Genomic DNA, 19778 nt, shown 5'->3' with positions numbered 1-19778 from the left:
TCATTTAGGGGGTCCCCAAGCCCTTGCACAAATGCAGCACATAGCGTGTGTTCAATGAGAGCTCGTTAACATCAAATGCACTGCCTGATCCCAAAAGAGGGGAATTTCTGACAAAATGGCATTTTTCATTGAAAGGAGATCTAGACCAAGGAGATGTGTTCTTTCTCCTCAAACACTCTCAACATCCCACGGGACCTTAATGCTCACCTTAAACCAGTGCTCGAAGCCAGACGCTAACCCAGCTTGGATGATCCAATCAGCAATGGCTGCTCCTCTTCCCTCTTCTGGAAATCTGCCAGTTTCCCTGAGCAGTCATCTCCACAGGGGAGCTATCCACCAAAACAGGGCAAAATCGTCTTGCGACTTTGAATCAGCATTAGCCAGAGTGGCTCTGGGTGCCAGGCACACACTGGACCCACCATGTACATTTCTGCAAGGCTATTTGCAAATGACTGAACAGGCCCAGAAAGACCGGGCATGTGCCCACATAGTGCAGCCACAATTCGGAGCTGGTGGTGAACCTTAACAATGCAGTGTCCATGAGCAGCTTTGAAAATGCCTGGTGCCAGGCTCCAGCTCAGACCAACTGCATCATTAATACAAAGTGAGGAGCCTGGGCATGAGCATTTTTCAAATGCTCCTGGGAAGGTTATTCTCATAGACAGCTGGGTTGAGAACTCCAGCACTTGAGCAAAAGCTGTCTCTGGCAACGGGTCTTGTCTATTTTTGTTAAATGAGCACCTGCTATGCCCCTGGCACTCTGCTGGCTGCTTGATGGGGAGTGGGGTGGGGGGGATCCATGGTCTTTCAGAAGCAGCTCCTGCTCTCAGGGAGCATCCAGGTAGCTTCAGGAATCAGGGACACACGCAGAACCTGAGAACAGACCCAACCCCTTAGAGCCATAAGGAGTGAGGGCGGCCCCTTCCCTGTTGGCCCCTGGTCACTTTCGATTCCACTTTGCAGCAAACTTTTCCTTCACAGGCCAGTCAGTATTCTTGGGTCTGCTGACAGCACTGCCCAGTCAGGTTGCTCCAGGTTCCTGCCTCCTGAAACCCTGGATTCCCATCCTGCAACCCTAACTTTCCCAGGCTGCCTCCCATGCTGCAAAAAGGAAGCTTCCTCTTTTCCAAGATCCCAGGTGGCCTCCCACCTCTCCCACTATCCCTGTCCCCAACTGCTTGGGTTTCCACTAGTCCTTGGCAGGGACCCTCACGAAACTCTCTGGAGAGTCCGTGTTCCCTCTCTCTGGTCTCCTCTAGTGAGAAAATTTTCCCATCCCATTGGCCATGGTCACTGCAGACTCAGTAGATCTAAAACTTGACGCGTCTTCAGAAATTCACTTGAAACTGCAACAGGTTTTCAGAGGGGCCACCTCCTTGCCCAAATCTACCACCTTTTCCTATAAGTGGCTCCCACTGGGGTTACATGGCCACCTATCCCTGCACCGCCAGACATATCGAGGTGCTGTCTTCAACCCTATTCTTCAATCAGGTCCTGCCACTTTGTCCTGAGGCATCTCCCAGATAATGAGAGCTGCGGGCATTTCAAGTCGTGCATGGTTTTAAAATGCATCATCTCATGGAACCCCACAGCAGCCCTGCATGGTGCTCAGAGAGTGAAGACTTGCCCAGGGGAGCCTCACAGGGTCACAGCAATGTGGGACTAAAGCTGCAGAAACATGGCAGCTCCCATGAGCCTGAAACTGCTGGAGGGGAAATGGAGATGGCCAGGCATCCCTGCCCTAGAGACGCTTGTCATCTGGTGGGGAAAAAGAATCAGGCCAGCTCGAATGTCTAAGCTCCATGCCACTTCCCCAAACATAGCTTCCTCAGCCACCCTGAGGTCAAAATGATACCCTGACCCAGTAATGCACCAGGTGCTGCCAGGAGCCCTGAGGAAGGCGACACATCCAGCCGGAGGTGGCCCGGCTCCCCGGAACACACAATGTGCTCGCACTGCCACCCACTCACTGAGGCCACGCACTTGCAGCATCTCAGACAGATGCGAAAGCGGCACAATCCGTCCACAGGCTGGCAGCAGCTGACTTCATGTCCCTCCTGGCAGAGGGACTCATGAGCACAGCCCCTACTGGAAGCATCTCATGGGCCTGAGCAGGGGATTGAGGAGAACCCACGGATGGGAGAACACTGACCAGGCACAGAACCTTCTGGGTATGAGTGTGGTCCACCAGGGGCCCCCTGGCAGCGTCTCAGTGTCATAGGGGACCTGTGTCCCCCCAAAAGATATGCTCAAGTCCTAACTGTTAGTACCTGTGACTTTGTTTGGAAATGGCATCTCTGCTGATGCAATTAAGTTAAAATCTGGTCACATGAGTCAGGGTGAGTAAACCCAATGACTAATGTCTTCATAAGAGGAAAATAGAGGATTTGGACACAGACAAATAGATGCACAGGGAGAAGGTCATGGGAAGACGGGGCAGAGGCTGGAGTGGTGCAGCTACAGGCAAGAATGCCAAGGATTGCAGGCAACCACCAGCAACCGGGAGGAGACAGGGATCCTGCCCTGGAGCCTTCCGATGGAGCACAGCCCTGCTGACACTTGGATTTCAGGCTTCCCATCTCCAGAACTACAAGGCCATACATTTCTGTTGTCTTAATCCACCCAGCTTTTGGTATTGTTATGGCAACCCTAGAAGACTAAGCACCCAGCTAGGACACGTAACAGACAACAGAGCCAAGATCAGGAACAGCTTCCCAACTGCATGTGTAGCGAGTGTATAGTAATAGGGAGATGAACTTGGCAGCAGAGACTCTGGTCCAATTCCTGCACCATCTCTCAGGAGCCGTGTGGCCCTGGGCAGGCTCCTGAGGGTGTCTGAGCCTTTTTCCTCATCTGCCATTTTGGGCCAGTAAGCCTTGCCCTATCCCAGACTTGCTAAATTTGACCTGTGCCCCCGAAGGGGTTTTATAAACAGAACTTATATGAATCGCAGGGCTCTTGTGGAGAGAGGGCGAAAATTATTCCAAAAGCCAGTGGTTTTCTCCAAAAAAGGAATCAACCGTCAAAGTTGACGTCATGAACACAACCGCTGGCAGCCTGTGTCTTCAGACTCGGAGGTGGGTGAGTGAAAGGTTCCTCTCAAGCTCCAGGGAAAACCCCCGAGCAGGTGGGACCTTGGCTCTAGCTTCCGAATGGGGATGCACTTTCAGAAATCAGTCACTTTGAGTGTGTCTGCATATGCCAAACATTTGCTCTAATTAAAAGTGTTTGCCAACACAGATTTCTAATTTGCGAATGTTAGTTCGACCTCCACGTGGCCGAAGGGCTATCTTTCTAAATCACAGACTAGATCATGTCGCTTCCCTGCCCCCCAACTTCAGCAGGCTCCAGACACGGGTCGATTCTTTCTGCTGCTGTCTGGGTTGTATTATTGTTGTTAACAATGATTTCTGAGGACTCCGAGTGCTGTGGGTCCCGGTGTAAGCCCACAGACCCGTTCAGCTCTGTGACCAAAGTCTCAGCTGTCAGGGGTGAAATGGGAAAACCAAGAATACTCTGATTAATTTAATTACATTTGATTAATTTGATTAATGAACAAATTTAAAATACTTTCACGATTCTAATATTAAGGTCTTCCTGTTTTCTAAATTATTTATCACATGCTGATGAGAGAGGGCAGATTAAAATTGGGCAATCTTATACCAATTTCTCAACTAAACAAATATCCTCTTCTGTGGACATCAAAAGGCTGGCAACCACCACCCTAAACCAGAATTGGTTTTGAGGCAAAGGTGTAGTGAACGTGCTATTTCTCTCTCCCCTCTTGCACACCCTACCTGGGGAGCCTGTCTCAGTGACAGCCTCGAGGGACAGCTTTCCCTACCATGTGACACCACCTCCCAGCCACAGCTGTTTAGAGCAGAGGGCTCCTCACCAAGCCAGGCCACTCTACTTCTCTCCTGGGAAATTAGGCCCCGGGGAGATGGAGTGAGCTTTGAGGCCACACAAATGTAGGGTTGGGGCTGCCATACTGGGGTGACCATTGTTTGGCCATATGCTCAGAGGACGAGAAGAAAAACCTGAAGTTGGAGAGGAAGGTTAGAGACAAAGGGTACAAGATGGTGAGACCTGGGGCTCCAGACAGAGAGGAAGGAAAACATCCTGGTCGCTGATGGCTTCATTTCTCCTTCACGAAGCCAGACTACACTTCTTGCTTCGATTTCCATGAAATGCCAATTTCTTATAAAAAAAAATCTCCCATTGCTGGGAAGCTAAAAAAGGAGAAGTGCTTGAGCCTAGGAATTCAAGGGTGTAGTGTGCAGTGACTGCGCCTGTGAATAGCCACTGCCTTCCAGCCTGGGCAACACAGTGAGACCCCACCCCTTGGGGAAAAAAATCTCCCATTGCTTAGAATCATTTGTCAGTTTTTTTTTTTTTTTTTTGTCTTTGTGTCCCTCTAAATTCCATGAGGAAGGAGACTAGGTAGGCCTCGTGAAATGCTCACCAGTAAAAAGCTGTTTCCTAAATGGTTGAGTGGAGGATTCACGGATGGATGGGCTGGCTGGGGTGTCAGACGCAGGAGCCAGGAGAGCAGCCATCTCTGCACTGCCACCACCCCTGCAGGTGCACAGGAAGGGAGGCCCTTCCGGTACTCTGCTATGAGAGACCAGCCAGAAGCCAGACAGGGGTGACGGCTCCGTGGGCTTACAGGGAAGATGAGTCTCTGCTTAAGTTCCTCCTCACGAGGGAGGTCTACCCTTGGTGAAGGACCAGGAGACAGGAAAGCCAGAGTTACGGGGAGCAGTCAGCTCCCAGTCACGGGGCTTGCCCAGGGTGCAGAGAACCTGAAAGTTCACAGCCTAGGAGAGGACAGCAGCCTGCTAAGTGGTGGCCAGGGCAGAAGAGTGAATAGTGGAGGCGGAGGAGGAGGAGGGGGAGGGAGAGGAGGGGGTGAGGGGTGGAGGTGGAAGGGCAAGCCAACTTCTCCTTCACATGCAGCAGGCACGGTGCCCAGGGCCCACAGAAATGTTCCAATTTAAAATCAGAAGGAAAACAATGAACTTCTGGGTAGAAGAAAATCTTTTAATATGTAACATTAATATGTTCATCTTTATATCAGCTCAGTCCTAAGAAATAATTTTTAATTTTTCTTTTTATGGTGGAAGAGGCCCATGAAAACAGAATTGCCCAGGACCCAAGAAAGTGAGAATGTGGCTCCAGGTGAAGGGAAGGGAGGCCAGGGACAGCAGGGGAGGGGAGGGGAGGTGGTCTGCCCCAAGGGTTGGTATAAAGGCCTCTTTGAAGCTGAGAAGCAGCAGCTGGACTCGCACACAGCTCTGCTTCCTTCTTCAGAAAGGACATCTGAAGGGGAAACAGCTCACATGCTTACAGAGGTCCCGTTTCACGGGGCCCGTAGTGCTTCACACTTTACACTGCAGAGGGGTGACGGCCATGCTCGGGATCCGACACCCCACTCTGCTGCCTTGCAACGGTCTACCTTGTGTAAGTCACCTAAGCACTCCGTGGTGGCTTCAAACGTACTGGCATCCTTCGGCACTCCTCCCATCAAAGGATGGAGTCTAACTGCCCCCCCCATCCCCTCGAATATGGGCTGGCCTTAGAGACTTGCTTCTAAGGACATGCCGGAAGTGATACTATGTGACTTCTGAGGCTCGATCACCAAAGAGGATAGAGACAGACACCCCCACGCACTACAACCTCTTGCTCTCTCTTGGGTCAATGGAGCCCTAGACTACAGGTAGGCAGTATGGCTACCCAGCCACACGGAGCGTCCACAGAGCGATGGAGAGTCTCAGCTGTGCCAGCCTCCCCACTCCCACCCTCAGGCTGTGCACCCCTTCTCACTCAGGGGCCAGACATGCGAGTGAGGAAGCCTCCCAGATGATTCCAGCCCCAGTCACAGTCTGACTGCAACCTCACATGAGGCCCGCAGCAAGGCCACCTAGCTGAGCAAAATAAATGATTATTCATGTTCAAAACCATTATCTGAGGTGTTTTTGTATGCACCAATACATACTCGAAGGCTTAGTATTTTCATCTGTAAAATGGGAATAATAAAATTAACTCCTTTATCAAGCTATTGTACACATTCAGTGAAAGAGTCCACGGAAAGGACTTATTGCACAGGGTCCCTACCCCAGTAAGCACCCAGCAAATATTAATCAAAGCTGGGATTACCATTAATTGTTGTTATTATGCCCATTTCTCAGAAGAGAAAACAGGACTCATAAAGGCTGAAGCAAATTGTCCAAGAATCACACAGGGAATTAGAGGATAAGCTCAGATTTCAATCCAGGTCTGTCCAGTGCCTCACAATCTGACTCGAAGAACAGCTTCAAATAAAAGGTGCATGTCCCCCAAAGTGACTGTGACAGCCATCAAAATCCTGTTGAAGAACTGCCATTCCAATGGTGAGATTGTAGGCACAGAGTGCCGCCAGCCAAGTGCAGCAGAATCTGGGAGGTAGTAGGTCCTTGCCCAGGAAAACAAAAGGAACTGAGGTCAGATGCTCAAAATGTCTTAATAATAATTACCCTGAATAACCACACAGAACTCATACATTTTCTACACTGCTTTGTCATCCATCATCTGGTCGGGTCCCCAACCCATGAGGATAGTTTTTATAGCTTTGCTCTCCTCTTTCATTAAAATGTGAGTCAATAAGGTGGTGAAACCTATGAAATGTGCCAGCAGGTAGATTAGTACTGTCCGAAACTGCAATAATTTATGGACCTCCCAAGATTATTTATCCAATACATATATTTACTAAGTTTGGGGGTAATAACCTGGGAAAGTTTGCAAACAATTCCTTTATGTTGCACGGGGCTGTGACGGATGCATTTTATGAGCAGGAACTGTACTTACAGATCTGCCTGATAAAGCACTGAAGGTTTGACTGTTTTGAAGTCAGCCAGCAGAGCTGTCATCAGCTTCTTATGCATTTAGGAGAACCTACTTGATAAGGTGAGAAACAGTCAGGAGCACCAGGCTGCCCCAAAAGCTCAGCCAGACTGACCGCTGCACAAGTCCCTTTGCACACTGCATCCCCCATCCAGTCACTAACAGGCCAGGAGTGACTTCCAGGTGCCAAGCAAGGTTCACCCCAGGTACTGAGGATCCAGGGAAGAGACAGTTGAAAGAAAGAGATGGAGCCAGCGATGATGATCTCATGAGATGGTTTGGCTTAAACTTATGTATGTACGTAAGTGTGCACTAGGTGCTCTGAGAACCAGGATGAAAGGCTTTCCCAGGACCTGATGGTGCGTTTCAGGAGCCCTAGAGCTCCAAAGAGAGAACTCAGCCCCATCGATTTCCATGCCCAGATCCTGACAACCATTCTAATCTGCTCTGATAACTTGCTACTAAATTCCTTTCTCTGCTTGCATTCAACTTCCACACAAGCTTCAGAAACCAAGAAGCAAACAAAAGGCCAGACATCTAGGGGTCATGCCCAGCCCCCTGGCTCTGGGCCTGGGTTCCAAGAGGGAAGACAGATGAACAAGGAGAAAGCCACATCCTCCATGCCTGGTGGGTAGCAAGGCAGTGTGAGGACAAACTGTCCATTTCCAGGTGGACTGCTGCCAGCAATGGGCACTGGGCATTGGCCGGCCTCAGGGATCATGACCGACTCCAGAGTGATTTCATGTGCTACTCGGCCACAATTCCACTTCTCTTCTCTTGGCCTCAATTTGTTGACCTGTAAATGGGACCCATGGAGGGTGGAATTGCATTCCCTTCCCAGGCCCATGTCCTGGGGCAGGGAACCCTCCAGAGGATGGCAATCTTCACTAGGAGGCTGACTGCCCGGGATGCCGTGCCCTTGGCACCATCTGGCAGTCAGCCAGTCGTGAAGAGGGCTCTCTGCCAGGCCCAGACTCCACAGAAAACAGCTAAGAATTTGCCCACTGGCTTGTGGAACATGCTTTTCTGTCTCTCTCTCTTCCTTAGCAATAGGAAGGTGAAGTTCAAGGGTAGTATAACCACCCGTGACCCTGAGACACTCTTCCCTTCTTCATGTTCCCTTTGTCCAGCCAGCTCTGCAAAAGTCACTGGCCCTGCTGAGCACATTGATTTCAAAGCAAATGGTCACTGAGTGGCACACGCCTTGATTCCAGACCATGTCCCCCTCTCCTACCCACTGAGCCCACTGCTGGGGGAAGCTCAGGGAAGCTGGCGGGCAAATGTGTGCCCTGGATTCTCTCAGCTGTGGATGTAGGTCTGGGAGCATTGTTTTTAGGCCAGGAGCAGCCTGAATGCATTTGCAGAGGCACAGGGAGACCCATGGCTCGGTGAATCAGGCTGGGACACTGCCCGCTCCATTTCCTGTTGGCTAGAGTCCACGATGGCTGGGCAGCAATTGCTGAAGCCAGCGGCTACCTTGCTTTCCTTCCGAGCCCCAGCAGGGCTGGTGGAGTTGGGGTCTGGGCAGCAGGGCCCAGAGGATCAGACAACAGATACAGACAAGCAGAGACACTGCAATCAGAGAAATGGTGCCTGAGGTTACACCCGGGACAACCATGCTCATTCCCACACAGTATTTCTTCTTGAACGTTTTACACATCTTCACTATCCTATAATATAGAGGGTACAGGGGGTCATGAACAGGGCTACCAGCTATCTTTTTAATGCAAATCCTGAGTCAAACCCCTCCCACAGTTCCCTGTCACCTGTAAGACATGGAACCCTCCTTAATCTAGCATTCAAGACCCACTCCCATCTAAGCAGGAGTGACCCAGCCTTGTCCCTGCCTTGCAGCCTCAGCCTGACTCTACAGACCTATAACACAGTACCCTCTCCCCAATAAACAGGCCTCTGTGCTTCTGCTCACACTTGCCCTCCTACCTAGAAGGCCTTTCCCGCTCAACTCTGCTCAGGAAATTCCTTCTCGTCTCTCAGGGCTCAAGTCAAACGCCTCCACCCTCCCCCGGCCAAACCCATCTTTCCTATCTCTGCCTTCTCAGAGCACGTCAGTCACTCTAATTAGCTACAGGTAGTTACGTAACACGTTTTCCCCAACTGTCTCTGAAACCATAAAAGGCAGGGAACATCTCTACTTTCATCCTCCACCCCACTTTGCTAATGGCCTCTCAGTGAAGGCTTGGTCAATATGTCCAGAGAAAGCATCCCAAAGAAGATTGATGCTGAGCGTGAAAATGCTTCCCTCCTTACGATTCAAGGTAAGGCATCTGCAATGTCAGACCCAAAAGCATCTGAAGTTTTCCTGGCCTTTTTCACTCATTTGCACTGCTGGGCAGGCTGGCTTTCAGAAAACCAAGCCCTGGCCCCATGCGCTGAGCACGCATCCCATCTGAGAGACCCCACAGATCTTCCAGTTACGCACTCAGCTCGCCTTGGAGGTTAATCTCACAACATGGTCCATCTTTCCCTCCTACTTGCCAAGGGATTGATCCTTTCGAGTGCAGTTTGCTTAACCTAGGCCCCAAGAGGGCTGCTGTTGATACACAGGCCAGAGCAACTATTTCTCAGTAGGAGGGAAAAAAAAAAAGGCCAGAGAAATACTTTCCAGACCACATTGTTTCATCTGTAAGCAAGAGCGGCAGTCGGAGATACAACCACGCAGACACAGATTGTGGGGACCGCAGTGTTTGGACGTAGCAGGTGTCTTGTGAATACTTGTGGAAAGAAGACAAGGAGGGATGACAGGGCCCTGGGATCAAAAGTGGCTGAGTTAATAGTCCAGCCCAAGAGGGTTGCAGTCTATATCCAGAAACTTCCTCGAAAAAAAGTTCTAGAGCCACTTTGACAATGCAGTCCCATGATGAGTCACCCTGTAACACGGTGCCTAGACTTAAAGAGCTGCTTCTAAATTTACTTTTACTATGGTGGTGGGCAGGCCCAGAAACAGATTTGCCCAAGTGGGTTTAAGAGTGTCAGTCTGCAGGGGTTTTCAGCATAGTGGCAAGACAGAAAACAGAGCTTCACAGGGTTGTGCCCCACCTACCAGGGCTGGCACCCTGCCTTGCCAGTCCCCAGGTCCTGTGGCTCCTTGGAGTGAATGCCTGGCAGCTGGGTGGGTTCTAGGGCTGTGACATGAAGAGGGAAGCAAGGGGGCAGGTGGTGGGAGAGGAGGTGAGATGGAGGGCCAGATCGTGCAGGGCCCTGAGGGTCACCTTAAGGTCCCTGACTATTGGGCACAGGGGGCACTGAAGCTCTCCCAGCCAAGGAGAAATGAGATCCTTTAAAAGGCTCACTCTGGCTACCATACGGGAAACAAACTGTAGTGCACAGAGGAGGAGGAGCGGGAAGCGTGGTGAAGAGAGAGTCGATTGGCTTGGACAGCACGGCGGTGGGTGAAGGTGGGAAGAGTGGCCAGCATGGGGGTGAGTGCCACATTCTGAGTCCTTTAGAGCAGGGAGGGGCATTACTGATTCGACACCCAGGAGAACCAGTGCTTCTTGAACACCACTGTGCTCAAGGTGAGAGCGACCTGGAAGCATGTTAAAAATATAGATTCTGGGCACCCCCATCCCCAGGAGTTCTAATTTGGCAAGTCTGCAGCAAGGTCCACCCATATGCATTTTAATAAGCTCACCTGGTGTTTCCATGGAAGTGGTCCCTGGATCACACTTGGAAAAAACCTGCAGTGACCCAATCTTTGCACTTGAAACCAGTGAAGGGTCAGAGTGGCGGCGGGGGGGTGGCTTGGCCCTAGGCACCCAGGTGAGAGGAGAGAGAAGGCCCCCTGCCTCCCAGCCTGGGCTCTCCCCACCAGCCCCAGCGTGCCTCCAAGTATGCAACAGCTAAATCCTCCAGATTCTGAACAGACCCCTTAAAAAGGGCAGAGGGTGACGCCCCAGGCCTACTGAAACAGTAGCAGCCTATGACACACTACAGCTGTCTGTGTCCACCACTGCAGCCTCAATGCCTAGCAGTGCCTGGACCAGAGCTAGTGCTCCATAACTGTTTGTTAAACTGTTGTCCCTGACATCTGTCTGAGGAAAGGATGATGGTGTGTGTTGGGGGGGTGGATCCTAGTAACCAGACGGGACCAGAGAGAGGCATGCTCTGTGGAGGAGACAGCTCCATGCCTGCACAGATGGACAGAGCCACTCTCAACCGCCACAGGGATGTCCTCGAGCAGACTGGAGGACAACCAGCCCTGCTGTAGAAGATGCATCTACAGAGAATTTTCAGACCGAAGCAATGTTATCTTGTCAGTAAAACAGAGAGGAACAGTCTCAACATTCCCTTTTAGAAGTCGGGTGTATTTTTCCACTCCTCCTTTTCAGATGAAGAACACAGGATGTGGTTTTCACGTCTACCTTTAGACTTGAACACTGCAAAACTGGACGTACTGTTTTAGAAGTATTCAATAAAGCCCTCTGAACAAATTAAAGGATAATAGACGTACTGTTTTAGAAGTATTCAATAAAGCCCTCTGAACAAGTTAAAGGATACTGTATCCATTCATAAATCATTTTAAACTTGCACGTGATGCTCTCAGGGGCATTCACTTTATTTAAAAATATAAGACTTATCAATATTGATCATTTAAAAAATGACTGTCATTATCATCCATTTTCTGAATTAAAAGAATCAAGAAGTGGATCAGGATCCCCAGACCATATTAGCAGATAGAGGCGGAGAAATGTGGCAGGTTGGGAAAAATGCCCTGGGCATTCTCTGTTTGCTCTTTTGCTTGGTGATGCTAAATGAGGTACATACAGCAGCTCATCATAGATTATTAAGAAACAGAAGCACCTGGAAATACACTGACCCTCACCAAGACCACCACCTGACCTTGGGAGTCAGGTTTCAAAAATGCAGGTCTGCCAAGGCATTTAGCCTAGCCTCTCTTAGCCACCACGAAGGACTTAGGAAGGCGAAGGTTTTTAACTACATGAAGTGCCATCTGCACTTGTCATAAGCCACATACAAAAACAACAAGAAACACAGCTAAATTTCTTAGTGAATTTATTTTGTGCTTCTCGTTGCTGGAAACGGGTGTGAAATCATTTCTACTACCATGCCCTGAATAAGTGTTCGCAGTAATCACGTATCAGAGGCCATGAACTTCTCTGTCTTCTTATCTTATCCTCTCTGGTGACTCTGCAAAGCTACTCTTGCATTTTCTACTTTTTAGTAACTACACATGTTAGAAATCTAGCCCAGAGCTGAAGCCCTGGGGCACCTGTTCTCTCAAAGTCTGGGGGCAGAAGATGCAGATTCCATGGGCCGCACCGAGGACACGCAATGTTATTCCTCATTTACCAAATCAAAAACTTGTGCTGACTGCTGAGATGTGGTATTTTAAAGATTGTAGATGAAGCATAGTCAAGCTTTCTAACTCATTCTGTCTAATTTTTCTCATCACCTATCAACAAACTTGAAGCTTTTGGCATATAAGCAGCTCAGTGATCCAAGGGAGACGGAAGGAGGGGTCTGTTGGTGAAGACGTCACTCACATGACACAGGCAAGGCCAGCGTCAGAGACAGAAGCATTTTCAACTGCTGGTGAAGAAACCCAGCCTGAGTATCGTTAGCAGAATGTAAAGCCACGCAATGGGGTGACAGAGTATTTCAGGGATTTTCCTTTGCTCTTTGTAAATTGAGTGTTACCAACAGGACTCTGGAATCTCTGGTCCTGGGAATGGTGGATGCTTGGCCAGCTCTGCACACTTACAGCGAAGAACAGCAGCAGCTATACTCACATGGGTGACCTTCCGAAGGCCGTCCCCAACATCAGCTACGACGGCATCTCTACTCGATAACGTGAAAAGTTCCTTGAGACCTACATTTCCTCCCGAGTCCCAGAAACTCCTAAGAGCTGTAGGTGAACCGTGAAGGTCTTACATGTGTTCCTCTGAATACCTTCTCTAGTCTGTTGTTTGGGGGAGGATTAACTCATGGGCATCCTGGAGGAGGAGAAACAGTTCTTTTGAAAGCTGTTACATAACTTTTATTGTGTCCCTTTTTCAGGAGGAGCAGCCTAGCGACAACTCCTCAGACTGACGTCGCATACATCAGTTTGTGTTCACCTCCCACAGAACCCCAGGGGGATGAATGTGGGACCCAGGAGAATTCTTTTAGCTTTTCCCAAAGAATCACCAGCACTAACCCTGTTAGGGTTACACTTGGCTTATTTAGGAATCTTTTTGGAAATCGACATGTTTGACCTCGTGTAGTTAAAAGAAATCTAATGCATTAACAAAAATCCTGGTGAATTTAGAGGTTTATTGACAGCAAAATCACCTCCGTATGCTACTTACGTCAAATCATCTGCATGCTTTTTTTAGTGCCATGGTTATCTAGAAATTGGGGAGGAAGGACACAATTTGGTTGCCAGACAGACACACTGCAGTAGCAGTGGAAATGAGGTCCAGCACGGGTTGATTTAAACCCCAGCAGAGTCCATTTAAAACATTGCATGGTTCTGCCATTCGATAATTATTAGAGACTAAGAAAGACACTTCAGCTCTCTGAGCCTGGGTTCCTCATCTAGAACACAGGGTTCACAATGTCTACTTTGCAGAGTTGCAAGGACAAAGTGTTTAAGGGCTGGTGGTTCCTTTCTCATGCCCTCTCTATCTGAAAATGACTGCAGCTTCACCAGGGAGCCTGACCTCAGACAACACACTTCCTTAGATGTTACAAGGGAAGCCTACACACAAAACCTGGCAAAAAATACCACTGCCAAACTGACAAGCTTCTTCCTCACCATTTCCCAGCTTCAGCTGAGTTCAAGGCTCTAACTAAAGTACTCTCCATTTTCAAATTACATACTTCCCCTTCCTTACCTTCCAGGAACAGCCTGAGATTGAGGCGGAATCTCCAAGTCCCCTGAACCCTAAAGCTACACAGATAGAATGTCATAGTCTTCTTACCCCATTGACCCAAATTACATAATAGTTCTTGCATCTTCTGCCACATGGATCCTAGAGAGGGTCATGGCTCATTCTAGTGCTCTCAGATTTGTGCTGAGCCTCTACCGTGCAAGGGGACTCTGATAGGGAAGCCGGCATAATCAGGATGGATCAAAGCTCCATCCTCCTTCACACACTCAGGGTACGGAGTCTCCACTTAGGGTAATAAACAGCATATTTTCTATAATCACCAATTTCTTATTGTTTATAGGAATGTCTAATTGGAACGTTATGTAACCTTAAAGTACAGAGCATTCTGGAGGTATTAATAACCAGCTATACCCAAATTTTGAGGATTCTTCAAACTTAGAGTTTGGAGGGCAATATCTGGTACCAATACACACACATATACATGCAAACGTACACACCCATTGCATATATGTAAACCCAGACCCAGCAAATGGAAATAATTTGCCCAAGGCCACAAAGCCAATGAACAACTGAGTCGGGAATAAACCCCAGGTTTCCTGGCCTACGGAAGCTGTTGTTTTCCTCACACTCCGATCAGTCCAGGTGTGCATCCTCACTGATGCAGAAATGCCACAGCACTCAGGCTGTGTCCCCATGATGCTAAGTGTGGCAGCTGCAATCATGAGGGCATGGTCTCAAGCCCTGACTTAGAAGAGTAAGCAAACAAGGGAAATGTCTCATCACTGTTATTTACTTACGATACATAACCCTCTTGTTCTCCCAAAAGAAATCCAAGGCACTTAAAACATATTTTAACATGAGGCCATTATATGTATGGTGTGGAAGAGTTCAGCTTAGAGATCTTACAGAAAAAAAAAAACTGGATTTAAGACAAAGAAAAACTGAAAAGGAAGAATTTATTCTCGATGGCTTATTTTCACACGGGGAGAAAAAAGGCAAAAAATATGAGAAAACTAATGAATTAAAAAATAAATATCAGTAACAAGAGTAATGTTTTGTGATGTAATCCAGCTTTGGCTATGAGTAGTATGATCTATGACACAAAAATCGTTATTTCATAATTACCTCAGCATTTTCAAAAGCAACTTAATGAAGATTGTTTCTCTGCATTCATTTTTATTCAAAACCTTACCAGTTAATCATGAGAAGCTAAAACACACAATGCTGGGAGATTAATATCCCTACATAAGATGCATTATTTTTCCTTTGCAGATCCCTATGAGCCTGTCAAAAATGAAAGCTTTGCTCTGGTTTTGTGAATTTCAAACAGTCACAAAACCCGCTGAGAGCCGAGTTTCTGGGAAAAAGGTGGGACATGCCCGTTTCATTTGGGATTCGGCAACACTTTAAGAGGTTCATTAATCCACATCTTAAAAAGACCAATGACAACCCCATTAACGACCCATAGGTCAAAGTGATGGATTTAGCTCTAATCCACAGCCAAAAACTAACTCAGGGTCTGAACATCCTTCAGCCCACCTTCCCTGTCCCAGCCCCTCTGCAGCCAAGCTAAGGCCGGCTCCACGCATCGCTAATATACTCAGCAAACAATGCAGTTGGAAGAGTCTAAAAAAAAAATCACTTTATTTATTTGCAGTAATTGTTTGTGCTGGGAATGTTTTACCTATGCAAATATGATTGATTATTTTTGGAGGGGCAGGAAAAGCTCACCAGCTTGCTGCTTTCTAGCCTGCTGGGCATCTTCTTAATGCATTGTATGTCATCAGTTCTTAGGAGCTAATGTCATCTCTCCTACTGAAAGGCCTAACCTATCCCACAACCCCAATCTGGTAGCTTGGAACATTTTATAGCCACTATGTGTTAGCCCAGTAAATAATCTATTAAGCACAGCTCGAGCTTCACCTCTTTTGGGCTGAACCTGAATCTCACAGCTCCCTGGAAACCAAGTCCTCTTCTTGGAAATCAACAACCCATTCAGTGTAGAATGTTCGTCCAAATGACTGGACTAAGACATCCTAGCTCAAGCCTGTAACTTACTAGTTTTGTCACTCAGAATCATTTAGCTGAAGGGGGTCTGAAGGGCTGGTCAGTCCACCCTTGCTCTTTACTAACAGAGACACAGAGGCCCCTACTGCTAAGGGACTTTCTCTGCACCAACACAAATGTACGTGTAGACAACTGAGCTCAACACTGTGACTTCACCAATGGAACAAGCCCCTCAGACCAGGATCAATTGATTCCAGGTGGCTTGCCCCTTCAGGAACTAAATGCACTTAAGCAAACAGTTAACTAAATGCACTTAAGCAAACAGTTAACTAAATGCACTTAAGCAAACAGCTAACAGCGGCAAGCCAGAGAACTGGGGGCATGCATCAGGCATCGTATCTGCATTAAAACTCCTTTTCTTTGGGGCTCAGAAGTGTTTGGGGCTCAGAAGTTCTGCTGACACTGAGGGCTGGCAAATATGAGCCAACACTGGGCCAGCCCCTGCACAGTGGCCATCTGGGATCAGCCCCCGCTCCGGTTAAGTAATCATCTCCAAGATTTACAAAACCAGGGGCAGGTAACCTTGATGAGCCCTGCCCCCAGGGAAAGGTTAAGGATGCAGTTCTGAGGCCTAGCATGTGCTGGGCACACAGGAGGAACCACTGTCCTTTCCATCCTTCAGGAGGACTGGGAAAACAGAACCCCAGGAAAGAGAACACCTAGGAAAACATATTATCCTCTCACCTGAACTAAAAAGTAGAGTACACATTAGGGGTTGGCAGCAGCGTGATGGCAGGATGGACAAAAAGTGCTTGCTACAGGCAATTTATTTCATCAGAACAGATACTCATTGGAGCAAGTATTTTCACACACACGCAATGACTCTCGAGACGGAAGCAGTTAGTAGAAGAAATGAGACAGGTGTGTTTGTTACAAAGGGAACAGTCTGGCAGGGAAGTAGGGTACCCTGGTTTCCAATCCTGGTCTCCCACTTCCTAACCTTGTGACCTTGATTAAGTCATTCAACCTCTCTAAGCCTCAGTTTCCTCATCTGGGCCAAGGAGAAACGGGGACCTATTTCCCAGAGCGGCTTTGAGGCACACTGCCCGGCACGGCCTGGACACCCACTAAATAAGAGTTGTTGCCCCCAAATGCTAAGTCTGAACCTAGCTGCATACACATGCCGTTATCTAGACCAGACAGGTCTCCCGCCTGCATGTCAAACCCACATCTTTCTCCAGAAGGCAGAAGAAAGCACCAGGTCTGCCCGGGCAGTTCAGCCTCCAGGCGGGGCTTCGGGGCAGGGGAAATTGAACGATTCAATCGGAAGCCCCGAATGTTTCCAGGCTGTAAGTGGGGAAGGAGGGTAGGACAGGGGCCCTGAGGCGGCCTCCGGGCCCTGCGAAGGGAGCTTTGTTCGCGAGGCGGAGGGCCTGGCTTACCGAGAAGCGCATCCGGAGGCGGTTGAGGGGCGCGCGGGGCACGCAGCAGAGCCGCAGCCCGGCCCGGACCCGGAGCGCCGGAGCCGCAGGAAGGCGAGGAGAAGGAAAAAAAGGAGGCTGCCGCCGGCTCCTGCCTCATTCTCCCGGGCAGCGTTGACCCGCTGGCCGCCGCCGGATAGGGCTGGCCGCCGGGCGCGGGACCCCGTGCGCGCTGCTCATGTCCCCGTCTGCCGCTGGCTAGGTGTGCGCGCAGCCTGCTGGTCTCTGGGCGGCACCCGGGGGCTCCTCATGCCCCGCGCCGGGGCTCGGCGGGAGGACCTCGGAGAGGCAGCGCGGAGGGAAAGAGAGAGAGACAGCATGAGAACGCGCAGAGCTGCACCCCGCGGGGGCCGGGCGCCAGCAGCACCGCGCTGCCCCACCCACGGCGCGTCTGCTCCCCGCGCTGCGCGCCCAGCGGGGCGCCGAGCCCCAGAAACTTTAGCACATGGCCGGTCCGGCGGCCACGGTGGCCGTAGCTGCCCTGCTCTTCGAGCGCCCCCCACTGCTTCCTGCCCCAAGCCCCAGAGCGCAGCTTACCAGCGGCGACCGCGACCGCAGCGGCGGGGCGCCCACCCGGCCGCAAGCACAGCAGTGCGCACCTGCGGGAAAGGAGGAAGGGGCTGGCGGCGTCGGGGTCCCTACAGGGGAGGGGCACCTCGGCGGCAGCAATCGGCGCAGGTTAAGGCATTCTGGGCCGGGGCTGCGCGCGAGCCAGGTGGTGGCAGGCCGGGATTGGGGAGGGTCTCTGCGCCCCCCGCCCCGCGGCGCCGCTGCTGATGACGCGCGCGGGCTTCCCCGGCCCCGCGTCTGCGGAGCCAGCCCCGTTACCTAGCGACTCGCTCCGGGGAGCCCCCGCTGACGCGCGCTGCGAGCCGGGCTGCGGCAGCCGAGGGGCGGGGAGGGAGGGGAGGGGGAGCTCCAGTGCGGGGAGGGCCGGCGGCTGCGGGCCAAGCTCCTCCCTCCGCTTCCCTCTCCGCGTTGGGGAGGGGGCCCGGGAAAGACGTGGCCTCCGCCTGGCCCTGGAGGATGGGAGGCCTTCGCGGGGCGGGGGGGACGGAGGGAGGCACTGAGTGCCCCTGTCCCCGCAGTGGGGATGCAGCAGCAGGTGGCGGCTATGTGGCCTGTGGAGGCTCGGCACCCAGAGGCGCGCGGTGAGCCCGCCCCGGCGGGAGCGTGGCGAATGTGGCTTTGGGCGCGCGGGTGTGTGGGACACGCTCCCACCCACGTGGCGTACATGGGGACCTGGGGACGCGGGTGAAAGAGGCGCCTCCTCCTTCCTCTGGTCTCTCTCCCTCCTTCCTGGACATTTTGCTCCTGCGCTGTCTCTTTCTTCATCATGGAAGCCCAGGTTGCTCCGTTCCCCACTCCCAGCTCCTTATATCTTCCAGGGAACAGGCGGATGGCCTGGCAGCTGAAGGTAGTTAAGTCGTGGTCAAACCACTATACCCCCAATCCCTGCCGCCCTTTGGCGCCTCCCCAGCCCATCCCCATGTCCAGTTGCCCGCCTTGTAGGCCCTCTAACCTGCCTCGGGGCGCCTTCCACTTTCTTGGAAGACTTGGGACCTCTGACACAGACTGGGGTTCAAATCCAGGCCCCTCCAATTGCTTTCAGTACACAGGACATTTTAACGTCTTCAGGAAGATGGAGTCCTTGTCTCCAAAGGTCATAGCTAAGTACTAGTACCTAAGGCCTTCCATGAATGTGAACATGATTTTCTAGAAGATAAGCAGCCTGTCTCCTGGTTCTCTGGGACCTCACCAAAATCCACCCCAACGTCCAGGGAAGTAAGGCAAGTGCCGGGAAACATGGTCAGAGCAAGCAGCGACCATGGTCTCTATCGACGAGGAGGCAAATTGCCCAGGTCTGCTGGGTGCCTCAGAAGCAGAGCTGGGGGAAGAACCCAGACATCCTGGTTAGCAGGTTCCCAGGGCCCACCGCTGTGCCCCTTCCCCAGTTGGATGGTGCAAGGAACCTTCTGCCCCTACTTCTCAGAAGATCCTCCTGCCTACCAAAAGGCTGCTTCCCTCCCATCCCTGCTACAGAATAGGAATCACCTACCACCTCGTCCACAACACCAACCCATACCCTCCCTAGCTGGCCTTTCTGTCTTCCTCATGGTATGGATGTGGGGAGAAAGATGCAGAGGAGAGACTCAGCAGAGATTTAGGGGAATCAGGCCTGCCCAGGAACACCCACACCCCAGCCCTGCAGCTCTACAGGACAGAGTCCCTCCATGAGGGGCTTTGGGAAACAGCAGAGTCTGAGTGGTTTTTGTTGGCTTAGTGACAAGACATTTCCTCCAATTATTATTATTATTGAGATGCCAGTAACTCCTATTGAAAAACCCTGCAAGTCCATGGAAACAGAAACCTGTGTCTTAAGAAACCAGGGTCCAAAGGCCACACTTTTCTGAGAAAAGCACTTTGCATCCCAGCCTGTGTATAACAGTTGCATTCCAACATTTTCCGGCGAAATTGGGAGCAATATCTCTGAATTTCCCAACCAGTTATTATGGGTAGTTGCAGACAGGGAGGTGGTCCCCAGAAACTCCAG

The 19778-nt window shown here is 50.6% G+C and overlaps 1 protein-coding gene across 3 annotated transcripts in view, besides 2 other annotated features; it reads right to left on the bottom strand.

The window, feature by feature from the left end:
- The window catches only part of TUNAR (transmembrane neural differentiation associated intracellular calcium regulator), a 49124-nt gene extending 31209 nt beyond the window's left edge, over positions 1 to 17915 (bottom strand). For 2 of the 3 annotated variants that reach the window (NM_001416132.1, NM_001416131.1), the window contains exon 1: positions 17186 to 17531. Coding sequence is in view for 1 of the 3 variants with exons in the window: in NM_001416131.1 (NP_001403060.1) it covers positions 17186 to 17197 (12 nt within the window). In the remaining 2 variants the exon portion in view is untranslated. Of the gene's footprint in view, positions 1 to 17185; positions 17532 to 17823 lie in introns of those variants that run through there. The other variant, NM_001416133.1, reaches the window with a different exon arrangement.
- Positions 2002 to 3201: an enhancer, noted in NCBI's record as "MED14-independent group 3 enhancer chr14:96357499-96358698 (GRCh37/hg19 assembly coordinates)". NCBI's record gives its function as "activates an origin of replication core promoter dependent on BRD2, BRD4, P300/CBP and CDK7 cofactors, and independent of MED14, by STARR-seq in HCT116 cells {active_cell/tissue: HCT116}" and the evidence as "EXISTENCE:reporter gene assay evidence [ECO:0000049][PMID:35650434]".
- Positions 7254 to 8033: an enhancer, noted in NCBI's record as "H3K27ac-H3K4me1 hESC enhancer chr14:96352667-96353446 (GRCh37/hg19 assembly coordinates)". NCBI's record gives its function as "activates a minimal SCP1, AML or CMV promoter by ChIP-STARR-seq in primed H9 embryonic stem cells {active_cell/tissue: H9 hESC(primed)}" and the evidence as "EXISTENCE:reporter gene assay evidence [ECO:0000049][PMID:30033119]".
- Positions 17916 to 19778: the final 1863 nt, after the last annotated feature.

The sequence above is a fragment of the Homo sapiens genome, chromosome 14 (genome assembly GCF_000001405.40).
Source record: "Homo sapiens chromosome 14, GRCh38.p14 Primary Assembly".
Classification (NCBI taxonomy): domain Eukaryota; kingdom Metazoa; phylum Chordata; class Mammalia; order Primates; family Hominidae; genus Homo; species Homo sapiens.
This window is presented reverse-complemented; position numbering and strand designations above follow the sequence as displayed.